At 39.5% G+C, this 19,933-nt stretch overlaps 1 pseudogene, besides 2 other annotated features; it reads left to right on the forward strand.

Annotated features, from left to right (window-relative positions):
* Window positions 2,736-3,022, forward strand: APOBEC3AP1 (apolipoprotein B mRNA editing enzyme catalytic subunit 3A pseudogene 1; annotated as a pseudogene).
* Window positions 13,120-13,683: an enhancer, noted in NCBI's record as "OCT4-NANOG hESC enhancer chr4:171031353-171031916 (GRCh37/hg19 assembly coordinates)". NCBI's record gives its function as "activates a minimal SCP1, AML or CMV promoter by ChIP-STARR-seq in naive and primed H9 embryonic stem cells {active_cell/tissue: H9 hESC(naive and primed)}" and the evidence as "EXISTENCE:reporter gene assay evidence [ECO:0000049][PMID:30033119]".
* Window positions 19,210-19,746: an enhancer, noted in NCBI's record as "OCT4-NANOG hESC enhancer chr4:171037443-171037979 (GRCh37/hg19 assembly coordinates)". NCBI's record gives its function as "activates a minimal SCP1, AML or CMV promoter by ChIP-STARR-seq in primed H9 embryonic stem cells {active_cell/tissue: H9 hESC(primed)}" and the evidence as "EXISTENCE:reporter gene assay evidence [ECO:0000049][PMID:30033119]".

The following is a 19,933-nucleotide window of genomic DNA, read 5'->3' on the forward strand; positions in this document are numbered from 1 at the left end:
TAGTTGTTTGCACATTTTTCTCAGTTGTTTTTTCCTTTTTTTGAAAATAGGGTCTTGCTGTGTCACCCAGGCTGGAGTGCAGTGGTGTAAGTATGGCTCACTGCAGCCTTGACTTCCCAGGCTCCAGTAATCCTCCTATCTCAGTCTCCCGAGTAACTGGGACAACAGGTGCACACCACCATGCCTGACTAATTTTTGTAGCTTTTGTAGAGACAGGGTTTTGCCATGTTGGCCAGGCTGGTCTTGAACTCCTGAGCTCAAGCAATCCACACACCTCGGCCTTCCAAAGTACTGGGATTATGGGGATGAGCCACTGCACCCAGCCAAGTTTTAAATGTCAATGAAAATATTTTTTGTTTCTAGGATTCTGATGAATTCTTTTCCATATTTGTGATTCTTTCACATATTCATCTGCTTTATTTAGATTTTGAAAAGGGGATATCATTTTCACCACTAATTCTTTCAGGTCTTAAATATACTTGTTTTTAGGCGTTTCTCATATTGCTTTCTTATTTTCATCTTCATGAGAGTGAATTCCCATCTGTTGAGACATATTTCATAGTGTCTGCTTTCCCCATGTCTTTGACATTTTGAATGGGTAGTGTTTTCTCTCCTAGTACTCTCTCCTTTCTTCTGGCAGTATTCATTGCTTCCTCCAAAATTCCAAGAGAGGTAGAATCAGCTCTGCTGTAGAGGTTTGTGGCTCTTGTCCACAGGATGTCACAGATGGGCTCCCACAGCCTTGGGCAGCTCCACCTATGTGGCTTTGAAGGGTATAGCCCCGCTTCTGGCTGCTTTCACAGGCCGGTGTTGGGTGTCTGTGGCTTTTTCAGGTGCTGGTGTTGAGTGTCTGCTTTCACAGGCTGGTGTTGAGGGTCTGCGGCTCTTCCAGGTGCACCGTGCAAGTTGTCAGTGGATCTACCATTCTGGGGTCTGGAGGACAGTGGCCCTCTTCTCACAGCTCCAGTAGGAAGTGCCCCACTGAGGACCCTGTGTGGGGGCTCCTACCCCACATTTCCCTTCCATACTGCCCTACTTGAGGTTCTCCATGAGGTCCCCCACCCCCACAGCAAATTTCTGCCTAGACATCCAGGTGTTTCCATACATCCTCTAAAATCTAGGCAGAGGTTCCCAAACCTCAATTCTTGACTTCTTTCCACCCTCAGACTCAACACCATGTAGAAGCTTCCAAGGCTTGGGGCTTGCACCCTCTGAAGCCATGGCCCGAGCTGTACTTTGGCTCCTTTTAGCCACAGCTGGAGCTGGGACACAAGGGCATGAAGTCCTTAGGCTGCACACAGCAGGGGGGCCCTGGACCTGGCCCATGGAACCATTTTTTCCAACTAGGCCTCCAGGCCTGTGATGGGAGGGGCTTTCATGAAGGTCTCTGACATGCCCCGGAGACATTTTCCCCATTGTTTTGGTGATTAACATTCAGCTCCTTGTTACTTATGCCAATTTATGCAGAGGCTTGAATTTCTCCCCAGCAAATGGGTTTTTCTTTTCTATCACATGGTTAGCTGCAAAATTTCAAAACTTTTATTCTCTGCTTCCACTTGAACACTTTTCCGCTTAGAAATTTCTTCCACCAGATACCCTAAATCATCTCTCTCAAGGTCGAAGTTCCACAGATCTCTAGGGCAGGAGCAAAATGCCTCCAGTGTCTGCTAAAGGATAACAAGTGTCACCTTTGCTTCAGTTCCCGACAAGTTCCTCATCCCCATCTGAAACCACCTCAGCCTGGACTTTATTGTTCATATCACTATCAGCATTTTGGTCAAAACCATTCGACAAGTCTCCAGGAAGTTCCAAACTTTCCTGCATCTTCCGTCTTCTGAGCCCTCCGAGTCTCTAGGAAGTTCCAAACTTTCCCACATTTTTCTGTCTTCTTCTGAGCCCTCCAAACTGTTCCAACCTCTGCTTGTTACCCAGTTCCAAAGTCTGCTTCCATATTTTTGGGTATCTTAATAGAAATACCCCACTCTACCAGTACCAATTTACTGTATTAATCCATTTTCATGCAGCTATGAAGACATACATAACACTGGGTAATTTATAAAGAAAAAGAGGTTTAATGGACTGACAGTTCCACATGGCTGAGGCTTCACAATCATGGCAGAAGGGGAAGGAGGAGCAAAGGCATGTCTTATATGGTGGCAGACAAGAGAATGTGTGCAGGGGAACTGCCCTTTATAAAATTATCAGATCTTGTGAGACGTATTCACTATCACAAGAACAGCATGGGAAAAACACGCCCCCATGATTCAATTACCTCCCATGTTGTCCCTCCCATGACATGTGGGGATTATGAGAGCTACAATTCAAGATGAGATTTGGATGGGACACAGTGAAACCATATCAGTCCTATTCCCTTGCAGGTGTTGAAATACCAGAAGTCATCCAAAAGATTTTAAATAAAGACAAATAGTTGGGAAAAAAAAAAGAAGAAGAAGACATAGTAACAGTGCTGTGTTGAGTATGTTGGAGTTGGGGCAAAATAAAACATCCTCGTTCCCTATCTCTTTGTATTTAAATGGTTGATATTTATTCGTCTTGGAATTGCTGCTTCAATTTTTACATTTTAAATATTCTATAGAAATTCATTCATTCTGATAACTGAGATTTTGGTGCCTTTTCTAATTTTGTGCTGGAGGCTCCTTGCCTCCCTAGTCTCATCTGGTCCAGGTTCTTCCTCCCTGTTCACAAGTGACCAATGTCTTTGTTTTCTTTTCTAGGCTTGGAATATTCTCAATGGCTATCAAGGCCACCATGTGGAGCAGTGCTTCCTGGACCTGGTTTCTTCTTGGCATCTGGACCTGGCCCAGTGCTACAGGATCACCTGCTTCATCTCCTGGAGCTCCTGCTTCAACTGTGCCCAGGAAATGGCTGGGTTCCTGAGGGAGAATAGACACATGAGCTTGCGCATCTTCACTGCCTGCACCTATGATTACCACCCAGGATATGAGGAGAGGCTGCACATGCTGCAGGGAACTGGGGCCCAAATTTCCATCATGACCTCTATGGGTAAGAATGGAAACTTTGGGTGGGCTGGGGTGTGTTGGGGCAGGGAGAGGAAAGTTACTAGAAAGGCAGGGAGGGTCGGTATCCCTGTGCAAAAAGCCTTGGTTGGCTGCCTGCAGAGGCTTATGAAATTGCTGTTCATAAATGGAATCCATTCAGAAACAATTCTTTGAGTTAGGGTGGACAGCCTATACTGAGGCTCAGGCCCTATAGATGTGTGTTTTCATATCCCAGACACCACTGTGTAGTTCCATTCTATTTCTGGTTTCATATAGATTTCTAAATTGTTTTTGAACTCACTTTTGTCTTTTTATGTTTTAAAAATATTTAATGCCCTATTGTGTTTTGTGTTTGAAGTAAAGGGAGAAAAATAGATCAGCAAGTTTCTGCATAAAATTTGTTGTGGCAAATTGTTGCTCTTGGTACCTACTTCTACATGTGCATATATATACAGGCATACCTCATAGATATTGTGAGTTTGGTTCCAGACCATTGTAATAAAGTGAGTATCTCAGCATAGTGAGTCATGAAAATTTTTTGGTTTCCCAGTACATGTAAAAGCTATGTTTATACTATACTGTCGTTTACTAAGTGTGTACAGCATTGTGTCTGAAAATCAATATACATACCTTAATTTAAAAATATTTTATTGCTGAGTGGAGAGGTGGAGCAAGATGGCCAAGTGAACCCTCCAGTGATTGTCCCCTCCTACAGGAACACCAAAGTGAACAACTATGCCCACAAGAAAGCACCTTCATAAGAACTAAAAATCAGAGAAGCAATCACAGTACCTGGTTTTAATGTCATGTCAAGGAAAGAGGCACGAAAGAGAGTAGGAAAGACAGTCTTGAATTGCCTACATCACCCCTCCCCTTTCCCTCAGCAGTGGCTGTGTGGCATGGAGAGAGCATCTGTGTGCTTGCAGGAGGGAGAGTGCAGTGATTGTGGGATCTTGCATTGAAACTCAGTGCTGCTCTGTCACAGCAGAAAGCAACATAGACAGAATTCAGCTGCTAAGTGCCCACGGAGGGACCATTTAGACCAGCCCTAGCCAAAGGGGAATTGTCCATGCCAGTGGTCAGAAACTCAGTTCTGTTTAGCCCCACTTACCATGAGCTAAAGCACTCTGTAGTCCCAAATAAATTTGAAAGGCAGTCTAGGCCACAAGGACCGCAATTCCTGGGCAAGTTCTGGTGCGGTGTTGGGCTCAGAGCCACTCACAGGACTTGCAGTGCGTGTGACCCAGTGAGACACCAGCTGGGGTGGCCAAAGGAGTGCTAGTGTCACCCCTCTCCTAACTCCAGAAAGCACAGCTTGCAGCTCTAGGAGAGACTCCTTTTGGTTGAGGAAAGGAAAGGGAAGAGTAAAGAGGATTTTGTCTGGCAACTGGGATACCAGCCCAGCCACAGTAACATAAAACAACAAGCAGATCCCTGAAGTCTCCATTCCAGGCCCTAGCTCCTGGATAACATTTCTAGACCCACCTTGGGCCAGAAAAGAACCTGTTACCCTGAAGGAAAAAACAAAGTCCTGGAAGAACTCACCACCTGCTGACTAAAGAGCCCGTAGTCCTTGAATAAACATTAGTAGCAGCCAGGCAGTACTCATCACAGACCTAGAACAGTGACGGCCATGGGAAAAGACTCTTTTTGAAGAAAGGAGAGGGAGGAGTAAAAAGGACTTTGTCTTGCAAATTGGGTTGCAGCTCAGCTATAGTAAAATAAGACACCAAGTAGATTCCTAAAGTCCCCAGTTCTAGGCCTTAGTTCCTGGACAATATTTCTAGACCCAGTCTGGGCCAGAATGGAAGCTGCTATACTGATGTGAAGGACTCAGTCCTGGCAGGATTCACCATCTTCTGAGTAAAGAGCCCCTGGGCCTGAAATAAACATCAGTGGTAGCTAGGCAGTTATTGCCAGTGGCCTGGTGATGGCCATGTGAAGAGATTCCTTCTGCTTGAGGAAGGAAGAGGAAAGAGTTAAAAGGATTTTGTCTTGCAACTTCAGTACCAGCTCAGCCACAGTAAAATGAAGCTCCAAGTAGATTCCTGAAGTTCTTCAATCCAGGCCCTAGTTCCTGGACATTTCTAGACCCACCCTGGGCCAGAGGGGAGCTTACTGTACTGAAGAGACGGACTCAGTCCTGGCAGGATTCACCATCTGCTAACTAAAGAGTCCCTGGGTCTTGAACAAACATCAGCAGTGGCCAGGCAGTAGTCGTGAAGGGCCTGGGACAGCGGTGGCCATGGGGAGAAACTGTTTCTGCCTGAGGAAAGGAAAAGAAAGAGTAAAAAGGACTTTGTCTTGCAACCTGGGTACTACCTCAGCTACAGTAAAATGAAGCACCAAGTAGATTTCTAACATTCCTGATTCTAGGCCCTAATTCCTGGACAACATTTCTAGACCCTCTCCTGTGGCCATCACCATCCCAGGCCCCGGGCAACTACTGCCTGGCTACAACTGATGTTTGTTCAAGGCCCAAGGGCTCTTTAACCAGCAAGTGGTGAATCCAGCCAGGACTGGGTCCTTCCCTTTAGATAGCAGGCTCCCTTCTTGTTCCAGGGTAGACAGAGGTGGGAGGATTGTTTGAGCTTTTGAGCCTGGGAGGCAAAGGTTGCAGTGAGCCAAGATTGCATCACTGCATTCAAGCCTGGGTGACAGAGTGAGACTCTGTTTCAAAAAAAAAAAAAAGAAAAAAGAAAAAAGAAAAAAAAGAAAAGAAAAAGCAATGAAATGTTTAAAAAATGAAAATTAAATTAAAAAAAGGAAAATGAAGGAAAAGGATGTTAATGAGCAATCAGAGATCATCTGAAGCTACAAAACTCACTGGTAATAGACAAATACAGAATATTATAATACCGTATTGTAGTGTGTTAACTACTCATATCTTGAGTAGAAAGGCTAAAAGACAAATCTATCGAAAATAACTACAACAACTTTTTAAGACATAGACAAAATAATGATATATAAATAGAAAAAACAAAGTTAAAAAGCAGGGTGGAAGATGAAGTTAAAGTATAGAGGTTTTATTAGTTTTTTCTTTGCTTGTGGTTTGTTTTTGCAATCAGTTAAGTTGTTATCAGTTTAAAATAATGGGTTATAGAATGTCATTAAGCATAATGGTTACTTCAAATAAGCAACCTACAACAGACACACAAAAAATGAAAGGCAAGAAATTAAAACATACCACCAGAGAATATCAATTTCACAAAAAAGGAAGGCAAGAAAGAGAGAAGGAAGACAGGAAGAAGGGAAGGAAGGAAGGAAGGAAAGAATGAAGGAAGAAGAAAGAGAAGGCCACAGAATAAGCAGAAAACAAATAACAAAATGGTAGTAAGTTCTGATTTGTTAATGATAACATTGATAAAGTTGAAGGTAAATGGACTAAACTCTCCAATCAAAAGACAAAGAGAGGCTGAATGGATGAAAAAAAGTAGGACCCAATAATGATCTGTTGCCTACAAGAAACACACTTCACCTATAAAGACACGCATTGACTGAAAATAAAGGGATGGAAAAAGATATTCCATGCTAATGGAAACCATGGAAACCAAAAAGAGAGCAAGAGTAGCAATACTTATATTAGATAAAATATATTTCAAGACAAAACTTTAGAACGAGACAAAGAAAGTCATCATATAATGATAAACGGACCAAATCAGAAAGAGGATATAATAGTTGTAAATAGATATATGTATCCAGCTGTGGAGCACCCAGATACATAAAGCAAATATTATTAGAGCTAAGAAGAGAGAGATAGACCCCAACACAATAATAGCTAAATACTTCAATACCCCACTTTCAACATTGGGTAGATAATCCAGACAGAAAATCAACAAAGGAACAACCGACTTAATCTGTACTATAGACCAAATGGACTTAATAAATATTTAGAGAACATCGTATCCAGACACTACAGAATATACACTGTTCTCCTCAGCACGTGGATCATTCTCAAGAATAGAGCATATGTTAGGCCACAAAACAAGTTTTTCAAGAAATTCAAAAAAATTGCAATCATATCAAATATCTTCTCTGACCACAGTGGGATAAAACTAGAAATTAATAACAAGAGAAATGTTGGAAACTATACAAACCCATGAAATTACACAATATTCTCCTGAATGACCCCTGAATCAATGAAAAAATTAAGAAGGAAATTAAAAAATTTCTTGAAACAAGTGAAAATGGAAAAACAACATACAAAAACCTATGGGATACAATAAAAGCCATACTAAGAGGGAAATTTATAGCAAAAAGTGCCTACATCAAGAGTAGAAAAACTTCAAATAATCTAACAATGCATCTTAAAGAACTAGAAAAGCAAGAGCAAACCAAACCCCAAATTAGTAGAAGAAAAGAAATAATGAGTATCAGAGTATAAATAAATAACACTTAAATAAAAAGTGCCAAAGATCAACAAAATAAAAAGTTGTTTTTTTGACAAAACAAAAAAATTAACAAACCTTTAGCCAGACTATGAAAAAAAGACACAAATAAATAAAATCAGAGATGACATATTACAATTGATACTGCAGAAATTCAAAGGACTTTAAGCAACTTATATGCCAATAAATTGGAAAACCAGAAGTAATGGATAAATTCCTAGACACATAAAAGCTACAAGATTGAATCATGAAGAAATTAAAAACCTGAATAGACCAATAACAAGTAATGAGATCAAAGCTGTAATTGTCTCCCAGCAAAGAAAACCCTGAGATCCAATGACTTCACTGCTGAAATCGACCAAACACTTGAAGAAGAGCTAGTACAAATCCTATCCAGCTATTCTGAAAAATAGAGGAGGTGGGAATACTTTCAAACTCATTCTATATGGCCAGTATTGCCCTGATACCAAAAGCAGACAAAAACACGTAAAAAAAAGAAAACAATGAGCCTATATTTTTGATGAACATCAATGCAAAAATCCTCAAAAATACTTGTAAACCAAATTCATCAGTGAATTAGAAAGATCATTTATCATGACCAAGCAGAGTTTACCTCAGGGGTACAAGGTTGGTTCAACATACACAAATCAATCAATGTGATACATCCTATCAACAGAATGAAGGACAAAAACCTTATAATCATTTCAATTGATGCTGAAAAAGCATTTGATAAAATTCAACATCCCATTCATGATTAAAAAAACCCTCAAAAACTGGGGATAGAAAGAACATACCTCAACACAATAAAAGCCAAATATGACAGACCTGCAGTTAGCATTATACTGAACAGCAAAAAACTAAAAGTTTTTCCTCTGAGATCTGGAACATGATAAGGATGCCCACTTTTACCACTGTTATTCAACATCGTACTGGAAATCCTAGCTACAGCAATCGGTCAAGAGAAATAAATAAAGGCCATCCAAATTAGAAAGAAAAAAGTCAAATTATTCTTGTTTTCAGATGGTATGATCTTATATTTGGAGAATCCTAAAGATGCCACCAAAAAACTATTAGAACTAACAAACAAATTCAGTAAAGTTGCAGGATACAAAATCAACATACAAAAATCAGTAGCATTTCTACATGCCAACAGTGAACAATCTGAAAAAGAAATCAAGAAAGTAATCCTACTTATAATAGTTACAAATAAAATAAAATGCTTAGGAATAAACTTATCCAAAGAAGTGAAAGATCTCTACATAGAAAACTGTAAAACATTGATGCAAGAAATTTAAGAGAACAAATGAAAGAAGGAAAAGAGGAGCTGTATTAGTCTGTTCTCGCACTGCTATAAGGACATACGTGAACCTGGGTAATTTATAAAGAAAAGAGGTTTAATCAGCTCATGGTTCTGCCAGCTCTCCAGGCTTCTGCTTATGGGGAGGCCTCAGGAAACTTACAACCATGGCAGAAGTTGAAGAGGAAGCTGGCACATCCACCATGGCTGGAGTAGGAGAAAGAGAGACAGGCGGGCAGGTGCTACACACTTTTAAACAAGCAGATCTCTGGAGACGTCTTATCACCAGACAGCACTAGGGGGATGGTTCTAAACCATTAGAAACTGCCCACATGACCCAATCACCTCCAAGCAGGCCCCTCCTCCAACACTGGGGATTAAAATTTGTCATGAGATGTGGGTGGGGACAGAAATCAAAACTGTATCAGAAGGCTAAATGGCAAATAATTATTCTTGTTATGCTTTGTGCAAACAACCAGGCCACGTATATTAAGACTGAAGCTTATTTCACAAACAAATCAGTCCTATCATGATTTGTTTTTAATAAAAATGAGGATTGGAGAGAGAAAAATTATGTTTCAAGAATTACAGTACACCTGTATTTAGATTCTAGTCTCATCAGTTATTTTTGAGTTTTGTCAGCAATTTAGACTAACCCTTCTTATTCCTGTGAAACAATCAGTGATCTCTGGCTGCAGCTCAGAAGAAAAGATGGATGGGTAGTGTAAAAATCTGGATCAATATTCTAATTCTGGGCATGTATTATAATCAGCTAGCAACTCCATGCACCCAAGTCTTAGCAGGTGTGACTATACCCACCAGCTACCTAGGTGTGTTGGTAGCCCTAGGATTTTTTGGAGCTGTTATCTTCCTCTTTTTTTTCTTTTTAACCATTCTTCTAAATCTGATAACTTGATTTGTCCCCTTTTACCTTCAGGTCATCAAGCTCCAGATGATCCTCAGTGAAGGATACTGACCTCTCAAATATTCAAGAGTTACCCTTCTATAGCGGGCCTCTAGACTGCCCATCAATGGGACACAACAGAGGCAAAATCTTGCCCCTGTCTCCCTTAGGCCTGGCTGGATACTGCTTTTTTACAACCCATAGAGCCAACCCTGCCCTGACAGCTAGTAGGAGGCCAAGACCCACAGAACCACCACCACCGCCCCTCTGTCTGCAGGAAGCAGTTACAGAAGACTGACCTTCATCCATTTTCCCCAAAGAATTGGAGTCTTGGACTCCAGAGGGGGAAATGTTATAGCAGGTAGCTAGTTAAACATGAGCAGGGCAGGACAGGGCTCCCAACCCCCACCAGGAATGTCAGGCGACATCAAGTGATCTCTCAAGTCACCCACTCTGCCCTCTTCCAAGTGTACTTTACTTCCTTTCATTCCTGCTCTAAAGCTTTTAAGTAAACTTTCACTCCTGCTCTAAAACTTGCCTCGGTCTCTCCTTCTGCCTTATGCCTCCGTGGTCTAATTATTTCTTCTGAGGAGGCAAGAACTGAGGTTGCTGCAGGCCATATGGATTCACTGCTGGTAACATGTTGACTGGAGTAGCACTTTTAATTTTCCTCCAGAACTTTTCTTTTGTATTTACAATTGGGCTAATTGTCTGATGCAAGAGTTTTAGCTTTTAGCCTCTGCCAGCCTTTGACATGCCCTCCTCACTAAGCTGAATCATTTCTAGCTTTTGATTTCAAGTGAGAGACATGACTCTTCTTTGCACTTGAACATTTAGAGGCTATTGTAGGGTTCATAATTGGCCCAATTTCAATATTGTTGCATCTCAGGGAATAGGGAGGCCTGAGGAGAGGAAGAGAGATGTGGGAAATGGCTGGAGGGTGGAGTAGTCAGAACACACATACTGTCTATGTATTAAATTTGGTGTCTTATATGGGTGTAAATCTTGTTGCCCCCAAACAATTACAGTAGTAAAATCAAATATCGCTTATCACAGATCACCATAAAAGAAATAACAGTAATGTAAACATTTGAAATATTGTAGGATTACCCAAAATGTGACACAGAGACACAAAATGAGAACATGCTCTTGGAAAAATGGCTCCGATAGACTTGCTTGATACAGGGTTGCCACAAATTTTTAATTTGTGCAAATCATAGTATCTGTGAAATTTAATAAGCTAAACACAGTAAAATAAGATGAACCTTTATTGTGCATAAATAGATAATTATTTGGGGGTAATTCTTCACATATGTAATGAATATTTTTGTAGAAAATGTACACATGACCCAATCATTTCTAAGGAAGATAAAGAGTTTTAGGTAAGGCTAATATGGAAAACAGACTAACCTGAATCTACCAGATAGAGGAACTGCTGCTAATAAATTAAATAAAATAATTTTTATAAATTCAAGAGCCTTGAAAACACTAATTGGTCCACTAAAATGTTACAGATTTTAAAATAAATCTTGGGCAATATGTCAACAAACAGGTAGACTATATGACAATTCATTTGTCAAATCTAGTATCAAATAAAGGAAATGAAAATTGAAATTGAGAATATTTTATGTTAGAACACGTTAAGAAAGGATCTAGTAAAGCAAGGATTAGATTGGAGTTATGATTTTGAAAATCTCTTTGTCTCTGAAACAGCCCAGGCAGGCTCGCTGATGTCATCTTTTTGGGCGAATAATTATTATATAGTTAGAAAGCTCAGGGTCTGATGGTTAACCCACTGCATATCTCTACCCAAAGAATGGGGGCTTGCCCATAGGGTTGGCGCTCCTGAAGCATGGGTCAGGAAAGCAAAGATCTTTTTCAAGGATATCTGGGGGTAGTGTTGGAACGACAAGGCCTTCAGCCTAGAAAAGGGCTTCCTCTGTAAGTGTGGCCATCAGTGACAAAGAAAATACAAAATCAATGATATAACCAACGAGAACAAGCCAAAAAGAGGCTTGTATCAATAATAATAAAATTTAAATACTCTATGCAAAAGGTTTTAATTTTTATTTATTTTTGAGACAGGGTCTTGCTCTGTCACCCAGGCTGAAGTGCAGTGGTGTGATCACTGCTCACTGCAGCCTTGATTTCCCAGGCACCAGGGATCCTCCCACTCAGTGCTCCTGACCCCCCAGGTAGCTGGGACCACAGGTGCGTGCCACCTGCCTGGCTAATTTTTGTATTTTTGGTAGAGACAGAGTTTCATTATGTTTCACAGGCTAGTCTTGAATTCCTGAACTCAAGCAATCCACCTGCCTCAGCCTCTCAAAGTGCTAGAATTGTAGGCGTGAGTCACCGCCGCATCCAGCCAATTTTTATAAGGCATGAAGTTTAACTATTATTATTAGTAATAGTAGAAGAGAATGCTGTATGTTGATTTAGGAGTGTTTTGGCTAAAATCTGAATTAACAATTTAAGGTACCTTTGTTTTACAAGATATTAGACTTAGTCATATGGGTTCACAGCATTCCACTGAAGTTTCAGATTGTGCTCTGAGAAACAGCCTGCTTAGCAAACTTGGGGAAAAAAATTGCTAAGACCTGGAATAAGATATTAAAATAACAGAATATTTTAATAATATCTGGGAGAAGGGAAACAGACATGAATGTTGTGAATTTTATTATTATAACATTTAAAAAATGCAGGATGATCTATTTGTATTTTTTTCAAGTCTCCTCAGTGAGTATGTATACTCGTAGAGGTAATAGTAGAAATTGTAACTGACGATGCAACCATGGCATTAATCCATTCGAACATCTTGCATCCAGACAATGGGATTTGTTGAACAATAGGGAAATATTCTCACTTGACAGGTTTTAGGATTTTGTTGTGGCTGTTGTTGTTTTTGGATATGTGGGTGTTGGCAGGAATAGCTTCGTTAACACATTACATTGATTTCCAGAGTTGACTTGGTGGACCTGGCTGGCAGGGTATTTGGGTGTTTCTTTCCTTTCTATTGCTCCTTGCTGGTTGCTATGGCAGCTGTATTCCTGTGAAGAGAGAATGCCTGCCTAGTGTCTGTCTGTTCTTGTTTCAATCAGAAAAGCATGTGGAGCCTTTCCAAGGCAGGCTGGATCTTACCTATGATGTATCGGTAGTGCATGAACATGCCATGGTCAGCACTGTCCACCTTGCAGTGTGCCTCTGGGACGTGTCCTGAGATGGATGAGGTTTTCAGTTTGCACTTTTTGAGATTCCGTGGTCTGCTTTTTAGAAACCCATACAGTATTACAGCCATTGCTTACAGAAGCTGTCCACTTTAAATAGCGTGGGTTTGAAAATTGAGACCAGAGCTGCTTAAAAGACTCCAGAGTATAACTGAGATAATTTGTTGCACATGGATGGGTAAAATAGGAAAGAGTAGGAGGAAGGGAGGGAGATGATTGCATAAGGAGACAGAAAAGAAGTCTGTGTAGGGCAGTGACTCAGAAAAATGACTTACCAGGGCAAAGGACTCATGTATAATAATTGATCTCCAATTCATCTGCTTCTGTGAGGTTTACTACAGATGTCCGTTCTGGTTTTAATTCACCACTTCCTACCATTACCCTGTGAAAGAAAAATAAAAATCGTGAGACTCTAGATTCACTATGCCAAAGGGGAAAAATTAAGCTTGAAAACTGAGTCATGCCAAAACAACAACAACAACAACAACAAAACTGCCTTTCCTTTTGTTCCTAAACCAATAGCTACAGGGTAGAAGGTCACGTATCTCTGCAGGTGACCTCTCTCATGCTGACAATGTAAATCAACAGCTTATCTTCACAGGCATGGGACAAGAGGAGACTAGAAATCATCCCCTCACCGAACCTGAGACAAATCCCTATTTGACTTTTCTCTGTACTCACTATGTTTATCTTTTGTAAAGTGCAGGTTTACTAAGCGTGAGACGCTAAGCATGAGACAAATACATAATTTATTGTTCCCTCTACCACCTCCTTTTCATGTACAACATGTGGATTCATTGAGCTCTAATCAAAGCCTCACAAGATGTGACCATACCTTCCTCCCTCTTTTTTTCTTTTCCCTCCTGCCTGTTTTTTCCCCTTTAAGTGTTGAAACTCTCAAAATCCTCTTTGGAAAAAGTATGGACCACAGATCTTACTGTGGTTTGTGTCTCTTTTTCCTGTGTGCATCCTCAATCTTGGCAAAATAAACCTCTAAATTAATTGAGATTCATCTCAGCCATTCTCTTTGGTTTTACAATGCTGTGCAGGTTTATCACAGTATCTACAACATTGCTTATAAGCATCTCTCTTTCCAATAGTTGGTAAACTACTTGAGGGTAGAAACTCTTTGAAGGAAATTAAAATATTTTACCCCAAAATATATTCCTTTGACATGTTTAAAAATGGCTGCCACTTGGCCATGCTGTCAGAAATAGCACTGCACAGCTGTCTTAAGTGGGGAGAATTTGCATCTGTAGAGAATCCCCATGAAAGTAACCTTGCCTCCCTCCCTTTCCTATGCCTTTCCCTGGATCCAGGAGTGACTGACAGTCTGACACCTTTTAAAGCCTGAAAAGAAACATTTACCATCTGTTCCCTCTGAGGGAGGCTTCGTCCACATAACAAGGCCATCTTTGCTAGCCAAGCTTCTTTCTTTCCTTCTGTCTTAACCTGTCTTGCCACTAACCCTGATTCACCTGTTTCTGGCTGTGCTCTGAGTCTGTGTTTCTTACTGTGGCCTCAGGATGGTATATAAGTTTCCGTAACTCTCTGGGAATTTGGGTCTTCACACCGAAGGCTCCCTTATATATACATTAAATACATTTGTATGCCTTTTCTCTTATTAATCAATCTGCCTCCTGTCAGTGATTTTAGTGATCATTTAGGGGGCGAAGAGCGTATCGTCCCCTACAGAACAGGATGATCATCAGAGTTGCTCTTCTCTTCTAGAGGCTACAGGGAAGAGAAACAAGAGACTGATCTGCTGGCAAAGGGATAAAAATTTCCTACCAACTAGGCTACTGGCCTGTCTTTCTCTGTGTACCCCAGTGAGCAGATGGTAAAAATCCCAGTCTCATCTGCAAGGTTTTGATTAACAGGAAAAAGGAATTTGACTAGTCTTGCATTGTAGTGTCCTGGTGTACTTTCAGTACTTTGTGGTATGAATACTCATATTGTGTGACCCCTTTTCTCTCAGAAATAGCCTTTTCTGTTGCCATTTTCCTTTGTCTTTCTGTGTTGTTCTGTCATAAAGAGGGGTAGCATTGGATAGAACATGGGCCTAGAACCCCTTTATGCCTGCTGTTCAAGCTGACCCTGCATACTGGTCAGTTTTTACAGTTCTGGATAGACCAGCATGTGTTCACACAAACTTTTCTGTGAGTCCCTGATACAAAAATCAGATGAGGTTTCCCTCTCATCTTGTTTTATGTCCTTAAGAACTTGACTTTATGGCTACATGGGGGTACTCTCTCTTAGTCTCTACCATCTGGGAATGTCTTTTTAAAAATTTAACCTTTTCATCAATTGTTTAGAATAGAGGGCATGAATTTTTTGGTTCACATTAGATGGACAGTCTGAAAAGACTGGGAATCTGATAAACATAATATTTTAAGCAAGACACTTTTTATACTGAATGTGTCACACTCTCAGGGAAATTTTGTCTACAAGACCCATCTCTATGGAGCTTTTGTGATCTTTTGTCTATCTTAACTCTATTTTTCAGAGTGGATTTTTGGGAGTCATGAGGATGTCTCCTTCATGCCCTCTCCAGGAATGTAAAACCTGAAAAATTACCACTTGGGCTTTAAAGAGGCTTTTGAATTTAGTTGCTATTGGAATAAAGTACACCATTGAAAATTCTAATTGCCAATGGCCAGAAGATAAATTAAAAGAAAGATTTTTGAGACCTGTTATTCTAAACCATTGATGAAAAGGTTAAATTTTTAAAAAGACATGTAATAGTGTTATGGCTAGCCTTAAGAAATTTTTTTGAGAAAAATTTGCCATAGTTAAGTCATAGCCTTAGTTTAGGCTTATTGATTTCACCTAGGAAGTTACCTTTGGTAAAGAAGTTCAAAAATCAGAAATATCAGCTGTTTGTCCTGACTAAAATCTGATAATAAGAGATTTGAAAGAATTTTTAAAGAGTTCTGTAGTCAAAAGTCAACTTAATTAAAACAGGTATTTAGGCTACATGTGTATCTATATTGTTTTAAAGCCTCTGTTCTCTCTCTGTATAAACTTCTCAGTGAATTCTGTCTGTTCCACCATTTACTTCTTCCTATCTTCCTCCCACTTTCTATCCTGTATGCCACACGAGGGACCTAAAAATACAAAAGGAATTTCTAACTGCCCAGGATCCCCTGGGAAAAATGGAAAATGTACCAGACTCCTGTGTCTGGAAGGAAACTCTGATTTTCTTCATGAAATCCCAAGAGTTGTAAACGGACAGATTCCACTCAGATCTAAAAGCTTTTCTCTCTTTTGTATTGCATTCCCTAATCTTTTTGGCTTTTGGGGAATTGAAAATTACTTTGCATTATGAAAAAATTTTTGACATTGGTGTTTGTAATAGATATACTTTCTGAGATGGCTAATGGTAGTTGCTTAGAGCAAACAGTTATTACTACAGGGGATACTCTGTGTGTTTAAGATAAGAAAGGACATGGTTTAAACACTTAGACAAATGTCTTCATGACAAAATGTGCTCTAAAAATATTATGTGACCTGGCCCTGTGGTATTTTTCTCTTTTTGGGGATTCAGAATTCAGTGTGGGCTCTGCTCTGGGCTCAGTGGTCCAGTTAAAAGATAGTAAATTAAAAAACACCTATCTAAATAAAATTGGTCTGACAAAATACTATGATAGAGTTCTATGATTTTGTGCTGTCCTGACATCCATTTTATTATTTAATTTTATTTTTTGAGACAGGGTCTTGCTCTGTTGCCCAGGCTGGAGTGCAGTGGCATGATCTTGCCTTCCTCCAACCTCTGCCTCCTGTGCTCAAGTGATTCTTGTGCCTCAGACACCGAGTAGCTGGGATTACAGGTGCTCACCACCATGCCTGGCTAATTTTTGTATTTATAGTAGAGACAGGATTTCTCCATGTTGGCTAGGCTGCTCTTGAACTCCTGACCTCAAGTGATCTGCCCACCTTGGCCTCCCAAAGTGCTGTGATTACAGGTATGAGCCACTGTGCCTGACCGACATCCATTTTAAAACTTCCTCTAACACACTCAAACTCTCTCTCTCTGATTTGAGATGTAAATTTGCTATCTTGTTTTCTCCAAAACTCAGTGAGGGCATTAGTCATGGCCATGATAAATAAATTTTAACATTTTCACAATTTAATCCAACTGTCTTTTTAGACTAGTGAGTGTATCTATCTTATGGCTAAAATTTTAAAATCAAACTATAAAGTCCTGGATAAAGAAAATGTGGTACATATACACCATGGAATGCTATGTAGCCAAAAAAGGATCATGTCCTTTGCAGGGACATGGATGGAGCTGGAAGACATTATCCTCAGCAAACTAATGCAGGAACAGAAAACCAAATACTGCATGTTCTCACTTATAAATGGGAGCTGAACAATGAGAACACATGGACACAGGGAGGGGAATGATGCACACTGGGGCCTATGGGGAAGTGGTTGTGGGAGGGAGAGCATCAGGAAAAACAGCTAATGCATTTTGGGCTTAATACTTAGGTGATGAGTCTATTGCTGCAGCAAACCACCATGGCACACGTTTACCTATGTAACAAATCTGCACTTCCTGCACATGTACCCTGGAACTTAAAGTAAAATAAAAACTATAAAGTCTTTATGTTACTATAATCTTTATGTGTACATGGGTATATGTCTGTCTGTATACTGTCTGCATGGGTTTTAAATTGACTTACTCATAAATAAAGTAGATAATCCTAAATGCTTTTCAAGTTCATATGATTTTAGTAATTTTTGGTAAATAAAGATAGTTTTAAAATTATCGGTAAAATAAAATAGAAGCATGTTCAGAATTTAGACATTTGACCTGAATTAGTCACTGTCTCTGATGTTTTAAGATGCAAAACTTTGCTCCTGATACTTGCTTAACTTGTCTGTAACTTACGTGCTTAGATTTGTGCCTTTAGGATATGAAGCCTAGCTCCAGGCATCGTTCTTTGCTCTGGGTTATGTACCTGGTACATAATTAAAATTGCTTACTTACTAGGTTTTTTCACTAAAATAAGAGTTACTGAGAATTAACATTACAATTAATACATGTAATGAACGTTACTAGATATATACAAAGTGTGTAAGAAAAGTAAGATGTATTTTTGGCAAAAAAAGTTAAAAGAAGGCATGAGAATGTTTTTTTTTTTTTTAATAAGGGGAAGGAATTTTGTCTAGTTTAAGGGTTTTTAAGGATTCTTTTAAGTTATAAATAGAACAAAATGGAAGGTGTTTAAGCAAGTTGGGGAAAGTTTGAGAAAAGATTGATCTTGTAAAAGGAATTCTGTATGTGAACGAGTTTGCTAAAATTTGAAGGGGATTATTTAGTTTTTCTATAAATTAAGCATTAAAATAAAAAGCACAGTGATGGAGAGCCAGTATCTGGGCTGCTGTGTCTGAATAACAGAGTTTTCTTGGAGTCTTGATCTATCTGCTTTTTGACAGGAAATTATAAAAGGTTATAGAAGGCTTATGACAACCTTATATTATGGCCAAGTTCATTAAAGTTAGATTTGTTCATTTGGTTTTATTAAAATTAGATTTAGTGCTAATAATACACTACACAAAGGTAAAAATTGGTTTTCTCTTGAACAAAATTTTTGTTTAATATTAAGAGATAGTAAAAGATTTCTGTTTACCTTTTGAGTAAATTGCAAAAGAGCGAGAGACAGATTTAGTTGGCCTCATGCTGTGTCTATTAGGTCTTATTGTTTGGGAAGTAAGTCTCCATTCTCAAAGAGTAAAGGTTTTTGCTTTTTGAAAATTTTAAGTTATTATTTTGGGTAAATGATTGATTTATTTTACAATGACTCATGATTCTATTTTGTGATATAGTGTTCTAAACCTTCAATATTTGACAACTATTCCAAAATCAAATTCTAGATTCAAACTTTTGACCTCAAACTAACTTTATAGAAGTCTAAGAGAGAGAGATTTAGCTTAATTAATATGTTAAAATCATACAGGAAACATTGTCAAAAATAAAACTGTGTTCAACTTTTTTTGGTTTATATTTATGTAAATGTGTTATTAGTATGTGTTCCAAAATTGTGAGATTTCTGTAATTCTGATACATATTAGTATACGTTATCAGTAGTAATTATAATTATTATGTTAAATTGTTATATACCACAGAAATAACCAAATTTCTTTGTCAATTGTGTCTTTGACCATGACTGCTCTAAGACTTTTGTTATCTAAAATTATTTTACTGTGATCTTTTTAAAAAGACAGCTTAATTATAAACTAATTATAGTTAAAGGATTCTTACAGATGCTCTTGAATGCAGGTTTCTGATAACTTTAGAAATTTGCCATTGGAATAGAGAAAAAAGCATCTAGGACTCATGATGTGTTCATGAGGCTTGCTGGCCCAATACTGAGCAGAACAGGGGCAAACCGTGAAACTGCCTTTGCAAAAATTATAACTGAAGAAATTGTGACAGTGAAAGAGATCAGACCTAACAGACTCTATCTTGCTTCTAACCTCTAAGCTGTTCTTGTTCATTCCTGAGTGTCAGGCCTCTGAGCCCAAGCTAAGCCATCATGTCTCCTGTGACCTGCACGTACACATCCAGGTGGCTGGTTCCTGCCTTAACTGATGGCATTCCACCACAAAAGAAGTGAAAATGGCCTGTTCCTGCCTTAACTGATGACATTGTCTTGTGAAATTCCTTCTCCTGGCTCATCCTGACTCAAAAGCTCCCCTACTGAGCACCTTGTGACCACTACTCTGCTTGCCAGAGAATGACCCCCCTTTGACTATAATTTTCCTTTATCTACCCAAATCTTATAAAACGGCCCCACCCCTATCTCCCTTCGCTGACTCTCTTTTCGGACTCAGCCCGCCTGCACCCAGGTGATTAAAAGCTTTATTGCTCACACAAAGCCTATTTGGTGGTCTCTTCACACGGACGTGCATGAAATTTGGTGCCATGACTCGGATGGGGGACCTCCCTTGGGAGATCAATCCCCCGTCCTCCTACTCTTTGTTCTGTGAGAAAGATCCACCTATGATCTCAGGTCCTCAGACCAACCAGCCCAAGAAACATCTCACCAATTTCAAATCCGGTAAGTGGCCTCTTTTTACTCTCTTCTCCA

This window comes from Homo sapiens, chromosome 4 (assembly GCF_000001405.40).
Source record: "Homo sapiens chromosome 4, GRCh38.p14 Primary Assembly".
NCBI classification, from domain to species: domain Eukaryota; kingdom Metazoa; phylum Chordata; class Mammalia; order Primates; family Hominidae; genus Homo; species Homo sapiens.